At 37.7% G+C, this 20425-nt stretch overlaps 1 protein-coding gene across 18 annotated transcripts in view; it reads right to left on the bottom strand.

Annotated features, from left to right (window-relative positions):
* Positions 1-593: 593 nt before the first annotated feature.
* Positions 594-20425, bottom strand: part of KLRD1 (killer cell lectin like receptor D1) — a 90648-nt gene continuing 70816 nt past the window's right edge. For 6 of the 18 annotated variants that reach the window (NM_001114396.3, NM_001351062.2, NM_002262.5 and 3 more), the window contains 3 exons: positions 18587-18738; positions 16689-16792; positions 594-15529 (listed from right to left, as the gene is read on the bottom strand). In NM_001114396.3, the coding sequence (NP_001107868.2) occupies positions 15409-15529; positions 16689-16792; positions 18587-18738 (377 nt within the window). In that variant the 3' untranslated portion in view covers positions 594-15408. Of the gene's footprint in view, positions 15530-16688; positions 16796-18582; positions 18739-20425 lie in introns of all 18 variants that reach the window. The other 12 variants (XM_047428821.1, XM_047428823.1, XM_047428822.1 and 9 more) reach the window with 9 other exon arrangements.

Here is a 20425-nt window from a genome sequence, read left to right as displayed (position 1 = left end):
TGGCTTCTCTCTAGCCTGTCTCAGTGTACTGATAGAACCAAGCATAGCCTGGCTGCGTGGGACCAGCAAGAACATAGATGGTGGGGTGAGCTGGCAGTTTCAACCACTCCTTGGATCAAGATGGAGTGAGTGGACCAAAACCTTTAACTCTCAGCTTCTCCTTGGGGGAAAAAGTTGAACTAAACAACTGATAATCCATATTTTCTGGAGATTGCCTGAGGAGCTAGCTTTATTCCTGTTTATCTCAGAGCACTGACAGGACCTGGGATATTCTAGATGCCTGGAATCTACCAAGAAAAAAAGAAAGCCAGTTGGACTAGCATGAAGGTTGAAGAAGACTGCAAAAATCCTTCGCCAAATAATAACTAAAAGACAACAAAAAATGCCTTTACTGATATTATAAAAAATAGACTTTAAGTCAAAAATTGTCACAAGAAAAAAAGAAGGATATTACATAATGATAAAGGCGTCAATTCACATTGGAGGATACAATAATTTTAAATATATATGCACCCAACATCAGAGTATCTAAAGGTATAAAGCAAACATTGACTGAACTTAAGGGAGAAATAGATAGCAATACAATAACAGTAGGAGATTTCAGTGCTCACTTTTAATAATGGATAGAACAACCAAACATAAAGGCAACAAAGACCCAGATGACCTGATCAACACTGCAAGTCAAGTCACCTACAGACATGTGCAGAACATTCCATCCAACAGCAGCAGAGTATACATTCTTCTCAAGTGCACATGGATCATTCTGCAGGATAGATCATATGTTAGGTCATAAAAGAAGTCTTAAGAAAATTAAGAAAATTGAAGTCATATCAAGTATCTTTTACAGCATCAAGGGAATGAAACTAGAAATCAGTTGCAAAAGGAAAACTAATAAATATGTGATAATTTAACAATACATTTTTGAACAACCAATCTGCAAAGAATAAATCAAAAGGGAAATTTAAAAACACATTAGAATAAATGAAAACAAAAATAAAGTCTAACAAAACTTATGGGATGTAGTAAAAGTAGGGCTAAAAGAAAAGTTTATAGTGATGAATATCTGCATTAAGAAAAAAGAAAGGTCTCAAACAATGCACTTTATACCTTGATATGGTTTGGCTGTGTCCCCACCCAAATCTCATCTTGAATTGTAGCTCCCATAATTCCCCCATGTTGGTGGAGGGACCCAGTGGGAGATAATTGAATCATGGGGGTGGTTTCCCCCATACTGTTCTCATGGTAGTGAATCAGTCTTATGAAATCAGATGGTTTTATAAGGGGAAACCCCCTTTGGCTTGGCTTTCATTCTCTCTTGTCTGCCGCCATGTGAGACATGTGTTTTACCTTCTGCCATGATAGTGAGGCCTCCCCAGCCACGTGGAACTGTGAGTCCATTAAACCTCTTTTTCTTTACAAATTACCCAGTCTCTCAGTTAAGTCTTTATCAACAGTGTGAAAATGGACTAATACATATCCCAAGCAACTAGAAATGTAGAAAAGAACAAACAAAGTTCAAATTTAGAAGAATAAAGAAAATAATAAAGATTAGTTCAGAAATAAAATAGTGAATGGAAAGGATATATAAAAAGTAAACAAAACTAAGAGTTAGTTTTTGGAAAATATAAATAACTTGACAAACCTTTAGCTAGACTAAGAAAAAGAAGAGAGGCCTTAAATAAATGAAATCAGAAATAAGACATTGCAACTGATGCCACAGAAATATAAAAGATGGTAAGAGACAACTAAGAACAATTATAGGCCAACAAATTGGATAACCTAGAAGAAATGAAAAAATTCACAAAGACAAGGACCTACCAAGACTGAATTATGAAGAAATAGAAAATATGAGCGTATCTATAACTAGAATGAAGATTGAATCAGTAATCAAGAAACTTACAACAAAAAAATTCCCAGGACAAGATGGCTCTTCTGGTGAAGCCACCAAATATTTAAGGAGAAATTAATGGCCATCTTTCCCAAGCTATTATATAAAAATTTAAAAAGAATAAATACTTTCAAACTAATTTTATGTGGCCAGCATTACCATTACACCAAAGCTTGTCAAAGATACCACAAGAAAACTATAAGCCAATATGTCTAGTAAACGTAGATGCAAAAATCCTCAACAAAGTAGTAGCAAAATTAATTCAACAGTACACTAAAAGGAGTATATGCCATAAGCAAGTGGCATTTATCCCTGGGGTGCAAGGATAGCCTAACATACAAAATCAATTAATGTAATATACCACATTAATAGAATGAAGGATAAATGTCACCTGTGCATCTCAATAGATTCAGAAAAAAAGTTTTCACAAAATTTAATACCCATTTTATGATGATAACTCCTGCCAACCTAGAATTTGAGAAAAATATTTCAACATTTTGAAGGCCCTATATGTAAAGTGCATAGCTAATATCATGCTATGGAAAAAGCTGAACTTTTCCTCTGACATCAGAAACATGGCAAGGATGTTTGCACTTGCCATTTCTATTTAACCCTTGTCCTACTTAAAGCTCTTAGGCAAGGAAAAGAAATTAACAACATACAGATTGTAAAAGAAGAAGTACAATGGTCCCTGTTTGCCTATGGCATGCTCTAAAGAATCCACAAAAAAGCCTCCTAAAACCAAGTAAAGTTGCAGGGTACAAAATCAACATGCAAAAATCCTCCTATATTCATTTATTAAAAGACTTCATATAGTTAAAATATTTGTATTTCACAATGTGATCTGCAGATTTAGTGCAATACCTATCAAGACCTCAATGGCATTTTAGAATTAGGAAAACAATGATACTAAAATATACATGGAACCACAAAAAGCCCTGAATAGCCAAACAAATCTTGAGCAAGAAACAGAAGGCCAGAGGCCTCAAACTTCCTGATATCAAAATATATTACAAAGCTACAATAATTGAAACAATATGGCACTGGCATAAAGATGAACATATAGACCAATTAAACAGATTGGAGAACTTGGGAATAAACTTTGCAAATATGGTTAAACGGTCTTTGGGTGGCAGGACTATTTAAGGGGAAATGACAGTTTCTTCAACAAACAGTGACGGGAAAAATGAACATCCATATTGCAAAGAAATTGCTTATCTTACACCATATGCAAAAATAAATTTCAAATGGATTAAAAGCCTAAATGTAAGTACTGAAAATGTAAAGCCCTTCAAAGAAAACATAGAGGAAAACCTTTTGACATTGGTTTTGGCAATGATATCATCAATCTGACACCAAAAGCACAGGCAACAAAAGCAAGAATAGACAAGTAGGACTATAGCAAACAAACAGCTTGTTCGCATCAAAGGTGTGAAAGGAAAATATCTTGGGCCCCCAAAATCACTCAACAAAAGGGAAAATTCAAGCTGGGAACTGCTTAGGGCAAAACTGCCTCCCATTCTATTCAAAGTCATCTCTTTGCTCACTGAGATAAATACGTATCTGATTGCCTCCTTTGGAAAGGCTAATCAGAAACAAAAAGATGCAACCATTTGTCCCTTACCTGTGACCTGGGAGCCCCCCATTCTATTCAAAGTCATCTCTTTGCTCACTGAGATAAATGCATATCTGATTGCCTCCTTTGGAAAGGCTAATCAGAAACAAAAAGGTGCAACCATTTGTCTCTTACCTGTGACCTGGAAGCCCCCTCCTTGCTTCCAGTTGTTTCACTTCTGCTTTGAATTGTCCCACCTTTCTAGACCAAACCACTGTTCATTTTACATATGTTGATTGATGTCTCATGTCTCCCTAAAATGTATAAAACCAAACTGTGCCCTGACCACCTTGGGCACATGTCAGCAGGACCTCCTGAGGTGAGGCTGTGTTATGGGCATATGTTCTCAACCTTTGCAAAATAAACTTTCTAAATTAACTGAGACCTGTCTCAAATTTTCAGGGTTCACAAAGGAAATAACCAATGGAATGAAAGGATGATCTACAGAATGGGAGAAAATAATTGCAAATCATATATCAGAAAAGGAGTCAATATCCAAAACATATAAAGAACTCCTACAACTCAATATTAAAAAAAACACAAGTAACCCAATTAAAAAATGTATCAAAGACTTGAATGGTCATTTCTTCATAAAAAACATACAAAGGGTCAATGGGCATATGAAATGATGCTCAATATCACTAATCATCAGGGAAATGCAAATTATAACCACCAAATATCATCTCTCACTTATAAGGATGGCTATTATCAAACAAATGAAAGACAAGTGTTGAGAAGTACGTGGGGTAATTAGACCCCTTGAACACTTTGGTGGGAATGAAAAATTGTGCTGCTTCTGTGGAAAACAGGATGGTGATTTCTCAAAAAATTAAAAATAGAACTACCATATGATCCACCAATCCCCTTTCTGGGTAATTATGCAAAAGAATTGAAATAAGAATCTCAAAGAAATATTAGTATACTACTGTCCATTGCTATACTAGTCACAGTAGCCAATGTGTACATACACATACAATAGAATATTATCCAGCCTTAAAAATGAAATCCTGCAATATGTAACAATGTGGATGAAACTTGAGGACATTATGCTAAATGAAATAAACAAGTCACAGGATAAATACTATATGATTCCACTTACGTGAAATATCTAAAGTGGTCAAGCTTATAAAATCAGAGAATAGAATGGTGGTTGCCAGGAATGGAGAGAGGAAAAAATGGGACGTCGTTAATCAAAGGGCATAAAGCCTCAATTATGCAAGATGAATAAATTATAGAGATCTACTATACAACATTGTACCTATTGTTAATAATACTGTACTGTAGACTTGAAAATTTGTTAAGAGGATAGATCTTATGTTGTATTTACCTCAATAAAATAAAATTTTAAAAAATTAGCAAAGCATCTGCAAAGATACGTAAAAAAGATAACATGAACAACTGAGGTTTATAACTGGGAAATAAAAACTATCTGATTTCAATCGAGGCAGAATAAAACATTTAATAAAAGCATATGTCATATGTACTCCTTATAAAAATTCTCATCAGACTAGGAATAGGAGGGAACTTTCTCAACCTAGTAAAGGTCATTTATGAAAATCCTACAGCTAAAATTAAGTATAAAGGTAAAAAAAGTGAATATTCATGCTCTAAGATCAATAGCAAAACAAGGGTGTTTACTCACCACTTGTATTCAACTTTGTGTTGAATATTCTGGCCACTGTGACAAGGTGATAAAAAGAATTAAAGGCACACAGTTTTCAAAAGAAAGAGGTAAAAACTGTCTTTATTCATCTATGCAGATAACCCAATGAAATCTACAGAAATGCTGCTAGGATAAGTGAATTTAGGCAGGTTAAACAATAAAAGATACACTTAGAATCAACTGTGTAAATGAATATATATATATATATATATATATACACACACACACATATACATATATACTTACAATTTTAAAATAAAACATTTGAAATTAGAAAATAAAATGTATAATAGCTTTAAAAACAATAGACTACTTTGGGGAAATCTCATAAAAACATAAAAGGCCTGAATATTAAAAACTACAAAACATTACTGAGTATAACTTAAGTATATTGAGACAATGGACTAGGTAAAGAAAATGTGGTACATATACACCATGGAATACTATGCAGACATAAAAAAGAAAAAAATCATGTCCTTTGCAGGAACATGGATAGAACTAGAGGCCATTATCCTAAGCAAATCAATGGAAGAACAGAAAACCAAAAACCACATATTCTCCCTTATAAGTGGGAGCTAACCATGGAGTACACAGGCACACAAAAAAAGGAAACAATAGACACTGGGGCCTACTTGGGGGGGAGAGGGAGAAGGATGAGGATAGAAAAACTGCCTGTCAGGTACTATGCTGATTACCAGGATGACAAAATTATCTGTACACCAAACCACTGCAACATGCAATGTACTCATATAAGAAGCCTACATATATACCCTGAACCTAAAACGAAAGCCAGAAGGAAAAAATTAAGCATATTGAGGTACAAGAAACATACTTTACTCAAGGATCAGAAGACTCTCAGAAGTAAAAAGGAATCGGCTGGATGTGGTGGCTCACGCCTGTAATTCCAGCACTTTGGGAGGTCAAGGCAGGTGGAGCAGTTGAGGTCAGGAGTTCAAGACAAGACTGGTCAACATGGTGAAACCCCGTCTCTACTAAAAATACAAAAATTAGCTGGGCGTGGTGGTGGGCATCTGTAATCTCGGCTACTGGGGAGGCTGAGGCATGAGAATAACTTGAACCCAGGTGGTGAAGGTTGCAGTGAGCTGAGATCACACCACTGCACTCTAATCTGGGTGACAGAGCAATACTCAGTCTCAAAAAAAAAAAAAAAGGAAAGAAATAAGAAATAAAAGGGAATTAACTATTGATACATGTATCAACATAGATGAGTATAAAAACTATTATGATGCTGAATGAAAAATCTAGAACACAGATGTACATATTATATGATTCTATCTATATAAAACATAGAAAGGCAAATCTATAGTAACAGAATATTCATCTGTGAGGGGAGGAGCAAGAGGAAGTATTTTATACATAGGGGAAAGGATACTTTTGAGGTTAGTAGGTGTTTTATATATTGCTGAGGTGATGGTTTCACAGATGCATAGATATGGAAATACATCAAATGTCATACTTTAAGCATATAAAGTATGCTTAAAGTATCTCAATTATACTGCAACAGCGCTGTTAAAAATAAATAATGGCTAAAAGCTTAAACAAGCACTACATAGAAGGGGATATAAAAATGAAAAAAAAAGATGAGGGATAAGCATCATTATTCATTTGGAAGATGGAAATTAAATGTACAATTGTATGCAAATGCATAGTATCCAGAAGGTCCTTAGACTAAAATAATTCATAATACTATGTATTGTCAAGAATACAGAGTAACACTCACATAAACTGCCAGTGAAATTATAAATAAGCTTTATGAATAAATTATCACTAGTTTTTAAAGCGTGAACTAAAGGGCCTAAATATATGACAGCTTATGACTTAGAAATTCAACTCCTAGGCGTACACTCAAAAGATATGAAGCCACATGTCCCACAAGAGCTATATTAAAATGTTTATAGCAATTTTACTCATAATAGTGAAAAGTGGAAATGACTCAAATGTTGAACAATATTAGAATAAATAAGCAAATTGTGATACATTCTTATGAATTCTACATGACAATAAAAGTGAGGAGCTACTGCTGCACGAATATATGGATGTATCTCACAGACGTAATGCTTAGCAACAGAAGCCACAAAGATCATACATGCTAAGCTTCCATTTATATGAAATTAAAGAACAGGCTAAATAAACCTATATTTTCAGAAATCAGAGTAGCAGTTTTCTTGGAACAGGGGAGACAGTATCAATTAGCAAACAGCAAGAGAGTCTTGGTGGTGGTAGGTAGTCTCTATTGCAATCTGGTAGTAATCGTGTAAGTGTAGACATAGCTTAAATGTTTACGAGTAAATTTAAGATAGGTATTCTTTATTGTGTTTTTGCTCAATTAAAATATATGAAGAGGTAAACTGTAATCAATGAAGTATTTAGTGTAAATGAGAAAATTAGTGAAGAAAAATTTCATGACGGCAGTTTGTGGAGCAGGTCTAGTAAGGTGCCAGTCCAAACAACAGCAGGTGGGTAAGAGCTCTTGGGAGGATATTTCCAATGAGAATAAAGTGACACTCATGGGTTATACAACATAATTGAGAACTAAAAAAACCAAAAAACAAAAAATTTTAATCTGGCAGAAGAGTTGTTTTTTATTGTATAAGGGTTATAACAATAGAACCTCAAAGAAGGAAATATAATCCTAGCTTACTATTGGGCTCTAAAATGTCCTCTATTTGGCCAGACACAATGGCTCATGCCTGTAATCCCAGCACTTCAGGAGGCCGAGGCAGGTGGATCACTTGAGGCCAGGAGTTGGAGACCAGCCTGGCCAACATGGCAAAACCTCATGTCTACTGAAAATACAAAAATTAGCCAGGCATGGTGGTGGGTGCCTGTAATCCCAGCTACTGGGGAGGCTGAGGCATGAGAATCGCTTGAACCAGCGAGGCAGAGGTTGCAGTGAGCCAAGACTGTGCCACTGCACTCCAGCCTGGGTGACAGAGTGAGACTCCATCTCAATAAATAAATAAATGTTCTCTATTCATGAGGTCATGATGATGAAGCATATTGTATCAGCTAACTACTATAAAGAACAAATTATCCTCAAACTCGTAAGCTTAAAACAACAAAATATTTCACTTCACAGTTTCTGAGGTCAGAAATCAAGAGCAACTGTGCTAGGTGGTTCTAGCTCAGGATCCCTCATGAGGTTGCAGTAAAAATGTAGGTTGGGTTGTATTTTCTAAGGCTTGACACTGGCTGAAGAGTTGAACCAAGGAGGCTCGTGCACAAGGCTGTCTACAAGATGGCTGCAGTTCCTTGCTAGCTGTTTATAGGAGGCCTCAGTTCTTTGCCACATGGAACGCTTAAAAGAGTTGCTCACGACAAGGTAGCTGGCTTCCACCAAATCAGATGATATGAGAAAGGGCAACGCCAAAGACATACTGTCTTTTATAATCTAGCCTCAAAAGTGATATGCGATAACTTCTGCCTTATTCTCTTGGTCACAGTGATCAACCCTTATACAATGTAATTGATTATATCAAAAGGGTTAAATTCCAAGAAACAGGGATCATTGGGAGCATATAGGAAGCTGTTTACAAGAGTCTAATCTTTGGCCCCAAATGATTTATGTCCCTCCCACATACAAAATCCACACCAACTGCCAAATCTCATTCCGTTACAATGTCAGTTCAAAGTCCGAAATTTGTCACATCCAGGTATGAGTGAGACTCATCAGGTGAAGTTCCTTAAGTTTAGCTTCTTGAGTATCATTTTTCTCCATGTGAAGGCTTGTGAAATTAACAATACTAGAGATTTCCTTCCCTTATACACTCAACATTCGAAAGAACAAACTATAGACATCCTTGTTCAAAAGAGGGAGGGGCATGAGAATTACAAAGGAGTCACTGATGCATAATAATTTAAAATCTAGCATAGCAAATGTCGGGACTCATTTGATTAGGACTCAGTCCTATTTCTGCTTATAAAATCACTCTTCATAACTCTTGGATCCACCTTACAGGCTCTTAGTTCTGTCCTTTGAATTATTCTTACTTTTGAATAAAAGGTAGCAATTCATTGTCAATTTTCTACTGACATAGTCATCTCAAAAGTGTTTTGAGGTTTTCTATGAACTCTATTTGTAAAAACCGCACACATAAATCTCTTCAATCTTCTCTCTACCTGGAGCTTCTGCTGAGATACCTGAGGGACAATACCCTGGGGCTTCCTAGAAGCCCTATTATTTGACCTTTATAGATCTTCATCTGACTGAATTGAGGCACTACTTGTGTTCTTTCTATGATATTTACAGGAAATTTCAGTCACACCCACACCTTCTTGTTTAGAATCATGCTTTCCTGAGAGCACTCTAGATTGGATCTTTGCTCAGAATCTATTTCTCAATTTTAGCATTTTTGACATGCTAACATTTGAGAGTCCAGGAATCTCAAAACTATCAAGTTCTGTCTTCTTTTGCTCAACAGCCCTTCCATTAGCTTATGTGTGTTCTATAGCATTGTAATATAAGTAGTAGGAAGAAATCAGACAAGATATTCAACACTCTAGTTGGAAATAAGTTTAGAGCATTCTCTTAAATCATTAAGTACATTTTCTACTTTCCACAATGCTACAGACAAAAGTGTTGCTAAACTTTCTGGTACTAAATAGAAAGATTTTTACTTTCTCCAGTTTCTAATATGTTTTCACTTCCCTACTATAAGCCCATACTAGAAGGTTTCAGTCTTTCCTGTCCTTTTGGCCTCCATCCACTGCCTGTTTTCAAGCACTCCAAAATTTTAGTGGTTTTTTTTTTTCTTTATAATAGTAACTTCATTCTTGGTACCAAAATATGTATTGATTATTGCTATGTGACACGTTAATATTTAGTGACTTAAAAGAATAAAAGTTATGTCTGGGCGCAGTGGCTCACGCCTGTAATCCCAGCACTTTGGGAGGGTGAGGTAGGCAGATCACCTGAGGTCAGGAGTTCAAGACCAGCCTGACCAACATGGTGAAACCCCGTCTGTACTAAAAATACAAAAAAATTAGCCAGGAGTGGTGGTGCACACCTGTAATCCCAGCTGCTCAGGAGGCTGAGGCAGGAGAATTGCTTGAATCCAGGAGGCAGAAGTTGCAGTGAGCCGACATGGCCCCACTGCACTCCAGCCCAGGTGACAGAGTGAGACTCTGTCAAAAAAAAAAAAAAAAAAAAGAATAAACACTTTACTATTTCACACAGCTTCTGAGAGTGAGGAATCCTCGAACAGCATAGCACGATGGACCTAGCTCAGGGTCTCTCATGAGGTTGCCGTCAAGGTGTTGGCTGGGGGCTGTAATCATCTGAAGGCTTGACTAAGACTGGAGCCTATACAAGCAAAGAAGGCTCATAGCATGGCTATTGGAAATAGACTTCAGTTCCTTGCTGGCTGTGTGTAAGAGTCTTCAGTTCCTTGCCGCATGGTCCTTTCAACAGGGCTGCTCATGACATTATAACTGGTTTTCCCCAGATCAAGTAATCTGGGAGAGAGGAAAAAGGAAGTCATACTATCTTTGATGACCTATTCTCAGAAATGAAATATCATCATTTCCACTTTATTTCATTGGTCACACAGAGCAACCTTGATACAATGTGGAAAGAAATTCCACCAAGGCATGTATAGCACAAGGTGGGAATCATTGGTGAACATCTTGCAACTTGTCTATAACACATAATTTGTAGATTGTCACCCTTTAAAATGAACACAGATTGATAGTAACAGACATAACTGTTTTCATATAGCAAAATTTGTAAGTACATTTACAACTGGTAAGAAGTGACCTGGAAAAGAATAAAGCAGAGAGTAGAATTTATGGCCTTATATTCTCATCTTACATACTTGGGCACATGTTGGCAAACTATGGCCTGTGGACCAAATCTGTCTCACCATATGTTTTGTCAATAAAATTCTTTTGTAACACAGTCAAACCATTCATTTTTGTATTATTTATGTCTTCTTTAGCACCACCATGGCAAGGTTGAGAAGTTTCAACAGAGACTGGTCCACAAAGTTGAAAATATATGCTATAGAGCTTTTTGAGAAAAGTTTTTCAACCCCTGCGTTAGGATATAAAGAGAAAAGTTTCAGAAAGTCCAAAATTATAGAACTAACATTTCCAGGTGTAGATAACTGAAATGAATTATAAGGTTCTAATGAGCATACTTATGAAAAGCTTTTTTTTTTTTTTTTTTTTTGGAGACGGAGTCTCCTCTGTCACCCAGGCTGGAGTGCAGTGGCGCGATCTCAGCTCACTGTAAACTCCGTCTCCCGGGTTCTCGCCATTCTCCTGCCTCAGCCTCCCGAGTAGCTGGGACTACAGGTGCCTGTCACCACGCCTGGCTAATTTTTTTGTACTTGTAGTACACACGGGGTTTCACCGTGTTAGCCAGGATGGTCTCAATCTCCTGACCTCGTGATCCACCCGCCTCAGCCTCCCAAAGTGCTGGGATTACAGGCTTGAGCCACCGCGCCCAGCCATGAAAAACTTTTTAATAAGTGAAAGGAATATGATACCGTATGAGAAAGAGAATTCAAACAAGCAGTGTGGGACCAAGAGATATTTGCGCAAAGACACCATTCATCTCTGGATGAAACCTGATATTTGTGAGATGAAACTTGGTTTCATGAGAGCTGAAACTGAAATTTCTTGCAGTCTTTTATCTGTGTCTGGTCACACAGCAGAGACAAGATCTGTAATTATCTCATATGGAAGCTATCAATAAACAAATTGACCCTGGATTCCACTGAGGGATTTTGAACTTTAAAGAACTCACCATAAACCATTTGTTAGCTAGTTAGTTAGCCTACTACCCATATCATGGCCAAGAGTCAAAAACAGACACCTAGGCATCTCTGGAAATAAGCAAAGAGCTGTCCCAGTTCAGCTGTAAAATAACTCACTTTCTTATGCATGCAATATGAGAATACAGATGTCACTAACTGATATGGCTTGGCTGTGTCCCCACCCAAATCTCATCTTGAATTGTAGTGCCCCTAATCCTCACGTATCATGTGAGGGAACTGGTAGGAGGTAATTTAATCATGGGGGTAGTTACCTCTTTGCTGTTCTCATGATAGTGAGTGAGTTCTCACTAGATCTGATGATTTAATAAGAGGGTATTTTTCCTTTTGCTCAGCACGTCTCCTTTCTGCTGCCATGCGTAGAGGGATGTGTTTGCTTTCCCTTCTGTCATTACTGTAAGTTTCCTGAGGCTTCTCCAACCCTGCAGAACTGTGAGTCAATTAAATGTCTTTATTTTATAAATTTCCCAGTCTTGGGTATATCTTTAGTAGCAGCATAAGAACGGACTAATACACTAATGTTGTGGGTGAGCAACGGCTACCTGGGCCGGTGGCATTGAGGTAAAAGAATTTACCAAGACAGCTGTAGGTAAAGGAAGGCAGATTTATTAAAGAAAAGTAGGAAAATATGTTTCCAGGGAGGCAACAGGCAGCATCAGCAGAAGAAAAGCTGACTGCAAAGAAACAAAGGCTTGCTTAGGATTTTATGGAATAGTGTTTATGCTGTATGCTGCAGAGGGCTTTGTCCAGTACTGATAATGCCAAGGTTGCGGTGAGGTAACTTGCAGGTGTCTGGTAATAGTTTAGCACATGGCCCATATCCTGGACCATGAAGAAAGGCAGACTCATAGCTTATCTGCTTTCTCTTTCTGCTTTTCCCTGCTCCCGCCAGCCTAACTCCTTTTCCCTAATTAGGACTTCACAACTAACGGAGGAACTAATAATTAATGTATTGAGAAAAACAGAAAATAATTACTTGTCCTCACATGCACACGTATGTTTATTGCAGCACTATTTACCATAGCAAAGACTTGGAACCAACCCAAATGCCCATCAGTGATAGACTGGATAAAGAAAATATGGCACATATACACCATGGAATACTATGCAGCCATAAAAAGAATGAGTTCATGTCCTTTGCAGCGACATGGATGAAGCTGGAAACCATCATTCTCAGCAAACTAACACAGGAACAGAAAACCAAACACCACATGTTCTTACTAATAAGTGGGAGTTGAACAATGAGAACACATGGACACAGGGAGGTGAACATCACAGACCAAGGCCTGTCGGGGGGTGGGGGGCAAGGGGAGGAAGAGCATTAGGACAAATACCTAATGCATGTGGGACTTAAAACCTAGATGATGGGTCAATAGGTGCAGCAAACCACCTTGGAACATGTATACCTATGTAACAAACCTGCAGGTTCTGCACATGTAACCCAGAACTTAAAGTAAAATAAAATAAAATAATAATTACTTGTCCTAGCATATGGGAATCAAGGAACCAAAAGGCAGTGTTTAAATTATATAAACTGGCCGGGCACAGTGGCTTATGCCTGTAATTCCAGCCCTTTAGGAGGCCAAGGCGGGCAGAATCCTTGACCCCAGGAGTTCAAGATCAGCCTGGGCAACAATACAAAACCCCATTTCTACAAATGATACAAAAAATTAGCTGAGCATGATGGCTCGCACCTGAGTCCCAAGTACTCAGAAGGCTGAGGTGGGAGGATCCCTTGAGCCTGGGAAGTTGAAGCTGCAGTGAACCATGATTGCATCATTGCACTACAGCCTGGGCAATGGGAATGAAACCGTGTCTCAGAAAAAAAAATAATAAAAGTAAAAAATAAAATAAGTGGCATAAACTATGAAGTAGCAGTTGTAACATATTTTTAGGATTATGTGGGTACAGTAGGCATAACTCTAAAGTGGTTTCTAATTGGTACACCAGTGGCCTAGTGTACACCTGCATAATCCCTTCCCCTTTTGTTTGAGTAGGATTTGGGATTATGATGGGATGTTACTCCGTGGTTGGAGTACACTAAATAACAAAGGTGAGGCAGTTTTTCAGATGCAATTAAGGTTCCAAATCCTTTCATCTTTTTTTTTTTTTTTTTTTTTTGGAGAGGAGTCTGGCTCTGTCACCCAGGCTGGAGTGCAGTGGTGCAATCTCGACTCACTGCAACCTCCACCTCCTAGGTTCAAGCGATCCTCTCGACTCAGCCTCCCAAATAGCTGGGATTACAGGTGTGCACTACCACACCCAGCCAATTTTTGTATTTTTAGTAGAGACAGGGTTTCACCATGTTGGCCAGGCTGGTCTCAAACTCCTGACCTCAAGTGATCCACCCGCCTTGGCCTCCCAAAGTGCTGCGATTACAGGCATAAACCACCACACCCAGTCCAAATCCTTCCATCCTAAGTCAATCAAAATTAATTTTTTCATCACAAAAATGATGAAAATAGATCAGCTTTGATTCATAACAGAGAAAACCACTCTAAGTGTTAAAATCAAAACAGAAGATAATGCCTAATGAAAGGAGGTCAGGGGTATAGGATAGTTGGTGGAAAAAAATATTGATAATCATTACATGCTTGCCTGTATTATTTTAAATTTTTTAATTAAAAAATATATTATTTTGTAGTCACATGGACAACAAAACCAAAACATTACAAATCTCCAGAAAGTGCAATGCATAAGCTCTCTTAGTTCAAATTAAACATTTGAAAGATATTATTTTTCATCCTATATCTTTTGTCAGTTACCTGAAATGCATTTTTCCCAAATCAATCTTCATACAAGAATGTGAAGAGGGCCAGGGATGGTGGTTCACACCTATAATCCCAGCACTTTGGGAATCCAAGGTGGGAGAATCCCTTGAGGCCAGGAGTTCAAGACCAGCCTGGGCAACATAGCAAGACCTTGTCTTGACAAAAAATTAAAAATTAAAAATTAGTCGGGCATAGTGACATGGTGCCTGCAGTCCTAGCTACTTGGGAGGCTGAGTCAGGAGGATCACTTGAGCTTGCAATGAGCTATGATCTTGCCACTATGCTCCAGCCTGGGCAGTGTGAGTTAAATTTTATTTTCTAAATTTTATTTGATGTGAATTAAATCTTATTTAAATTTCTGCTGAGAATTAGCAAGAATGTAAATAAAATTACATAAATGTGTAATAAAACTACATTGAATTTAACATTAAATATATACATTAAATGAAAATACAAAATTCTTTATGTTAATTTTATAATTCTCAAATGTAGGTGAACGAATTTCATCAATTTTAAAACACATTGTTTCACATACATGACAATTGTATATGACACTGTTTAAAAACATTTTATAGACTCCAGAAGTAGACAATTAGTAATAATATAACATGCAACTGTATCATTGTTAGTAATGTTGGGTCTTTACTCTCCACCTTCTCTGCCCCAAGAAACATTTAAATGAGCTGTTGCTTACAGATATAACGATTTTTATCTTCACAGGATTCATCTAAAGCATTTCCATTTGGATTATACGCTATGCAGTTCTTTGTATTAAAAGTTTCAAATGATGGAAATCTGTAATGAAGAAGAAAATGTTCACATACACAAAAAGGAAGTAAGAATGTTCAGGGCATTTTTCAATTAAATGATATAAATTTTAAAAGCATTTGAGTGAGATACTAACATATTGAGTCCTTTTTTTTTCAGTAACCACAATTTTCATGATTTTCTAGTGTAATGCTACAAAATACCCAGTTATTTTCTCACTAATCAATAGCATTGAGGCCAGGGATTTTTTCCTTGCTGTTTTTCTGTTGTCATTAATGGTTTAAATATGTGATATGCTTTTCTTCTATTTTATTTAAGATGTATTATCTGATCTAGTCTAGGAAAACAAACCAGAGCATAAACTTTGTCCCTGTGTGATGCTGCAAATCTCATGTTTATAAATGAAAATGAGATTCAAAAAGTACACACATACAGACAATGAGTCTATAGTATATAAAACATAAGAGCATGCTGAGAATATTGGGGTCTACCAGAATAAATAAAATAATAAATATACTATTTTTTTGGACTGCCTCTGTGTATATGAGTATCTGTACATGCACATATACTTCCAAGTGCTGGTACTAAGGCAAAAATAAAGCATATGTTAAAAGTTCTTTTATGGCCACGAATACACTAAATTTCATGTCACTTGAGCATTAACTTGGATGCTCAAGCCACCATCCCTGGCCCTCTTCACATTCTTGTATGAAGATTGATTTAGGAAAAATGCACTTCAGTTAACTGACAAAAGATATAGGATGAAATATAATACCTTTCAAATGTTTAATTTGAACTAAGAGAGCTTATGCATTGCACTTTCTGGAGATTTGTAATGTTTTGGTTTTGTTGTCCATGTGACTACAAAATAATATATTTTTAATTAAAAAATTTAAAATAATACAGGCAAGCATGTAATGGTTATCAGTATTTTTTTGCACCAACTATCCTATACCCCGACCTCCTTTCATTAGGCATTATCTTCTGTTTTGATTTTAACACTTAGAGTGGTTTAGATCTGCCTAGATCTAAAATTGTTATTTTGTTGTACTTTTTCCTTTTACTGTATTCTCATGCCCTAGACAAGGTTATTTCAGCCACAGTGCTCCTGGATGTTACCTTTACTAGTCACATTTAAGGACAAATTCATAAAGAGCAAAAAACGCCATGATTGCCAGAAACTTACAGATACTGGGAGAGTGCAGAGCCATTCTCCCACAACCAGGCGGTGTGCTCCTCACTGTAAGAGAGTCCAATCCAGTAAAATTGTTGACTGGAGCTCATAAAATCCTGCTTCAAGTAAAAGACAATCACATTAATCTAATTTTAATCTATTCTGGGAATAACATATTTTGAGGGAAAGTCAGTGTTTAGAATAAGATTCAGCCTGTCCATCACACAAACGGAAATTATTTTTAACTTCCTATTTAAAAGGTATAATCACAAGACTGAAAGTTCTCATTTATCAGGCCCATTCATATATGGAGAAAAAATACCACAAAATCTCACTTCCTGAAGAATTAAAAACCTTCTAAAAGGAGATAGAGTTTTCATGGAACACTTTCTTCACGGGGGATCAAAGATTAAATTTGATTCCAAAATCATGGTATTGTGAAGGAGGAATCCCATGGGTATAATCTACTCAACCTATAATCCGCAAAGGTGCCACGTGCAGCAGGAGAAGTTTTTCGCTTTTTCTTTTTTCTTTTTGTTGAGAGGGAGTCTTGCTCTGTCGCCCAGGCTGGAGTGCAGTGGGACGATCTCAGCTCACTGCAAGCTCTGCCTCCCAGGTTCACGCCATTCTCCTGCCTCCGCCTCCCGAGTAGCTGGGACTACAGGCGCCCGCCACCACGCCCGGCTAATTTTTTGTATTTTTAGTAGAGACGTGGTTTCACCGTGTTAGCCAGGATGGTCTCGATCTCCTGACTGTGATCCGCCCTCCTCGGCCTCCCAAAGTGCTGGGATTACAGGTTTCAGCCACTGCGCCCGGCCGCACTTTTTCTTAAGAACTGGGTAATTAGGGGCCGGGCACGGTGGCTCACGCCTGTAATCCCAGCACTTTGGGAGGCAGAGGTGGGCAGATCATGAGGTCAGAAGATCGAGACCATCCTGGCTAACACGGTGAAACCGCGTCTCTACTAAAAATACACAAAATTAACTGGGCGTGGTTGTGGGCGCCTGTAGTCCCAGCTACTCGGGAGGCTGAGGCAGGAGAATGGCGTGAACCCGGGAGGAGGAGCTTGCAGTGAGCCAAGATCACGCCACTGCACTCCAGCCTGGGCGACAGAGCGAGACTCCATCTCAAACAAACAAACAAACAAACAAACAAAAAAGAATTGGGTAATTAGGGCCAGGCACGGTGGCTCATGCCTGTAATCCTAGCACTTTGGGAGGCCAAGGAGGGTAGATCACCCGAGGTCAGGAGTTCAAGACCAGCCTCGCCAATACGGTGAAACCCTGTCTCTACTAAAAATACAAAAAGTGCCAGGCCTGGTGGCAGGTGTCTGTAATCCCAGCTACTCAGGAGGCTGAGGCAGGAGAATCACTTGAACCCAGGAGGTGGAGGCTGCAGTGAGCTGAAATTGCACCAGTGCACTCCAGCCTGGGCAACAGAGTAAAACTCTGTCTCAAAAAAAAAAAAAAAAAAAGAAAAGAAAAGAATTGGGTACGTTTTCTTACCATATTTCCATACTAGCTTATATCCCAGAAAGATGACAAAAACTATAAAATTATAAAAGATATTATAAATTCAATTAAAAGAGTTAAGAATCACAGTCATTTAGTTGGTTCTTCAAATAAAATGGGTAAATATAATGACCTATTATCTTCTTTGAATTCTTCCTGAAAAGTTTCTTTCACTTTATTTGGCACCTATCTTGATTTGTATTCCCATGATATAATCATTAAGGAATTTAATAAAGATTTTACAATGACTACTTTAAGGTACACAGAACAGATAACTCAATTCCAATATAACCATCCACTTACTATGTGATTAATGACTTAAACCAAAGTATTTAACTTGTTTAGATAGTATATTTTTCTAGATCAAAGAAAATGTAGAAAATCAGACTCAGCACATGCCAGTTCATCTGTGTTTTGAAGCTGAAGCAGGCTGGATTTCTGAGAAGCACAGAGATGCCGACTTTCGTTCCAAGTTTTCTGTTCACTGGAAATGAAGTAACAGTTGCACCGGTACCCAACCCATTTTTCTTGGCAAGAACAGCAGTCAGAGTCTGACAGAAAACATAAAGCATGACTAATGACACTGGAGACTAGACATTTTTTTCAATGCTATTTAATTATTCAAAAATTATTTGCTGTGTATTCTTTTAACATTCAGAATCTACTGTATACACCACACTTCAGGGGCTACTAATGTGAACTAATTAGACATGAACATGATGCTTTTTCCTCATGGAGATTATATTCTAGAGATAGAATTACAATTATATAATTTTCAATAATTTATTAACGATATTTAGTGATGATTTAGATAAGTACAAAAAAATTAAGTATGTTAAAACAGCATGTAGCAGAGTGTAAGATGAGGGGCAGTTACAAGAACCTTTTTTTGAGGAAGTGACTCAAAACTAAGTACTGTAGCATAAATAGGAGTTAACTAGATGAAAAAGATTTAAAGGAGGAAAACATTTTAGCATACTTTCTGAGTCAGAAAAGAATATGGTACATTTGGAGAATTTTGATATATGTTTGGATATCTTATTTTTGAAAAGGGAATATAAATAAACCAATTATCTTGAGGCTTAATTATACAGTTTATCAATAATAGTGTCTTCAACGTTTGTTACCCACGGTAATAAAAACATGACACGTCATAGGCACTCAAATCTTTGCCATATAAGTAGTGCTGAAGATGTTGCACTATTATTTTTATATTTTTTAATTGTTTTTGAGACAGAGTCTTGCTGTGTTGCCCAGGCTGGAGTGCAGTGGCACCATCTCAGCTCCCTTCAACCTCCGCCTCCCAGGTTCAAGTGATTCTCATGCCTCAGCCTCCTGAGTAACTGATACTACAGGTGCGTGCCGCCATGCCTGGCTAATTTTTGTATTTTTAGTACAGACGGGGTTGGCCTGTCTTGAACTTCTGACCTCAAGTAATATGCCTACCTCAGCCTCCCAAAGAGCTGGGATTACAGACGTGAGCCACTGTGCCTGGCCAAGATGTTGCACTGTAAATAAACACTATATAATCAAGATGATGGTGAGACAACTTGGGGCGCATTCCGAAAAATACATATTTAGAAAATTGAGGCCGGGCGCAGTGGCTCTGCTGGGTACGGCATAATCCCAACACTTTGGAAGCCGAGGCAGGTGGATGACCTGAGGTCAGGAGTTCGAGACCAGCCTGGCCAACATGGCGAAACCCTGACTCTACTAATAACACAAAAATTAGCTGGGCATGGTGGCGGGCGCCTGTAGTCCCAGCTACTTGGGAGGCTGAGGCAGGAAGGTGGGAGAATCACTTGAACCAGGGAGGCTGATGTGGCAGTGAGCCAAGATCGTGCCACTGCACTCCAGCCTGGACGACAAGAGCAAAACTCCATCTCCAAAAACGAAAATTGGACTTTGAGCTGGCTTTCACTGGATAAGTAAGGTTTAGAAATCTGTGCAGTATATTCTGGAAAAGGAAAAGTAGTGAGATGCAAAAGTATAGGTTATAAGCAAATTCAGGCAGGTAATGAGGATTAACTGTAACATTTCCTGTGGTTTATTTTTTGTTACTTAATTATGAGCACTCATATAGGAAACATATCTTTCGTTTCAGGCTACTATTTTCCTGATTAGTTAAATGTACAAATGATACACATTCAGTGTAATTTAATCATTTTTACATTAGATTGAGCAATGTAAAATGAGACTATCCTACACTGGTAGGCAAATTTCTATTACTAAGTATAA

The sequence above is a fragment of the Homo sapiens genome, chromosome 12, assembly GCF_000001405.40.
Source record: "Homo sapiens chromosome 12, GRCh38.p14 Primary Assembly".
Taxonomy (NCBI): Eukaryota; Metazoa; Chordata; class Mammalia; order Primates; family Hominidae; genus Homo; species Homo sapiens.
Note: the sequence above shows the minus strand (reverse complement) of the source record. Positions and strands in the feature narration are given on the sequence as shown.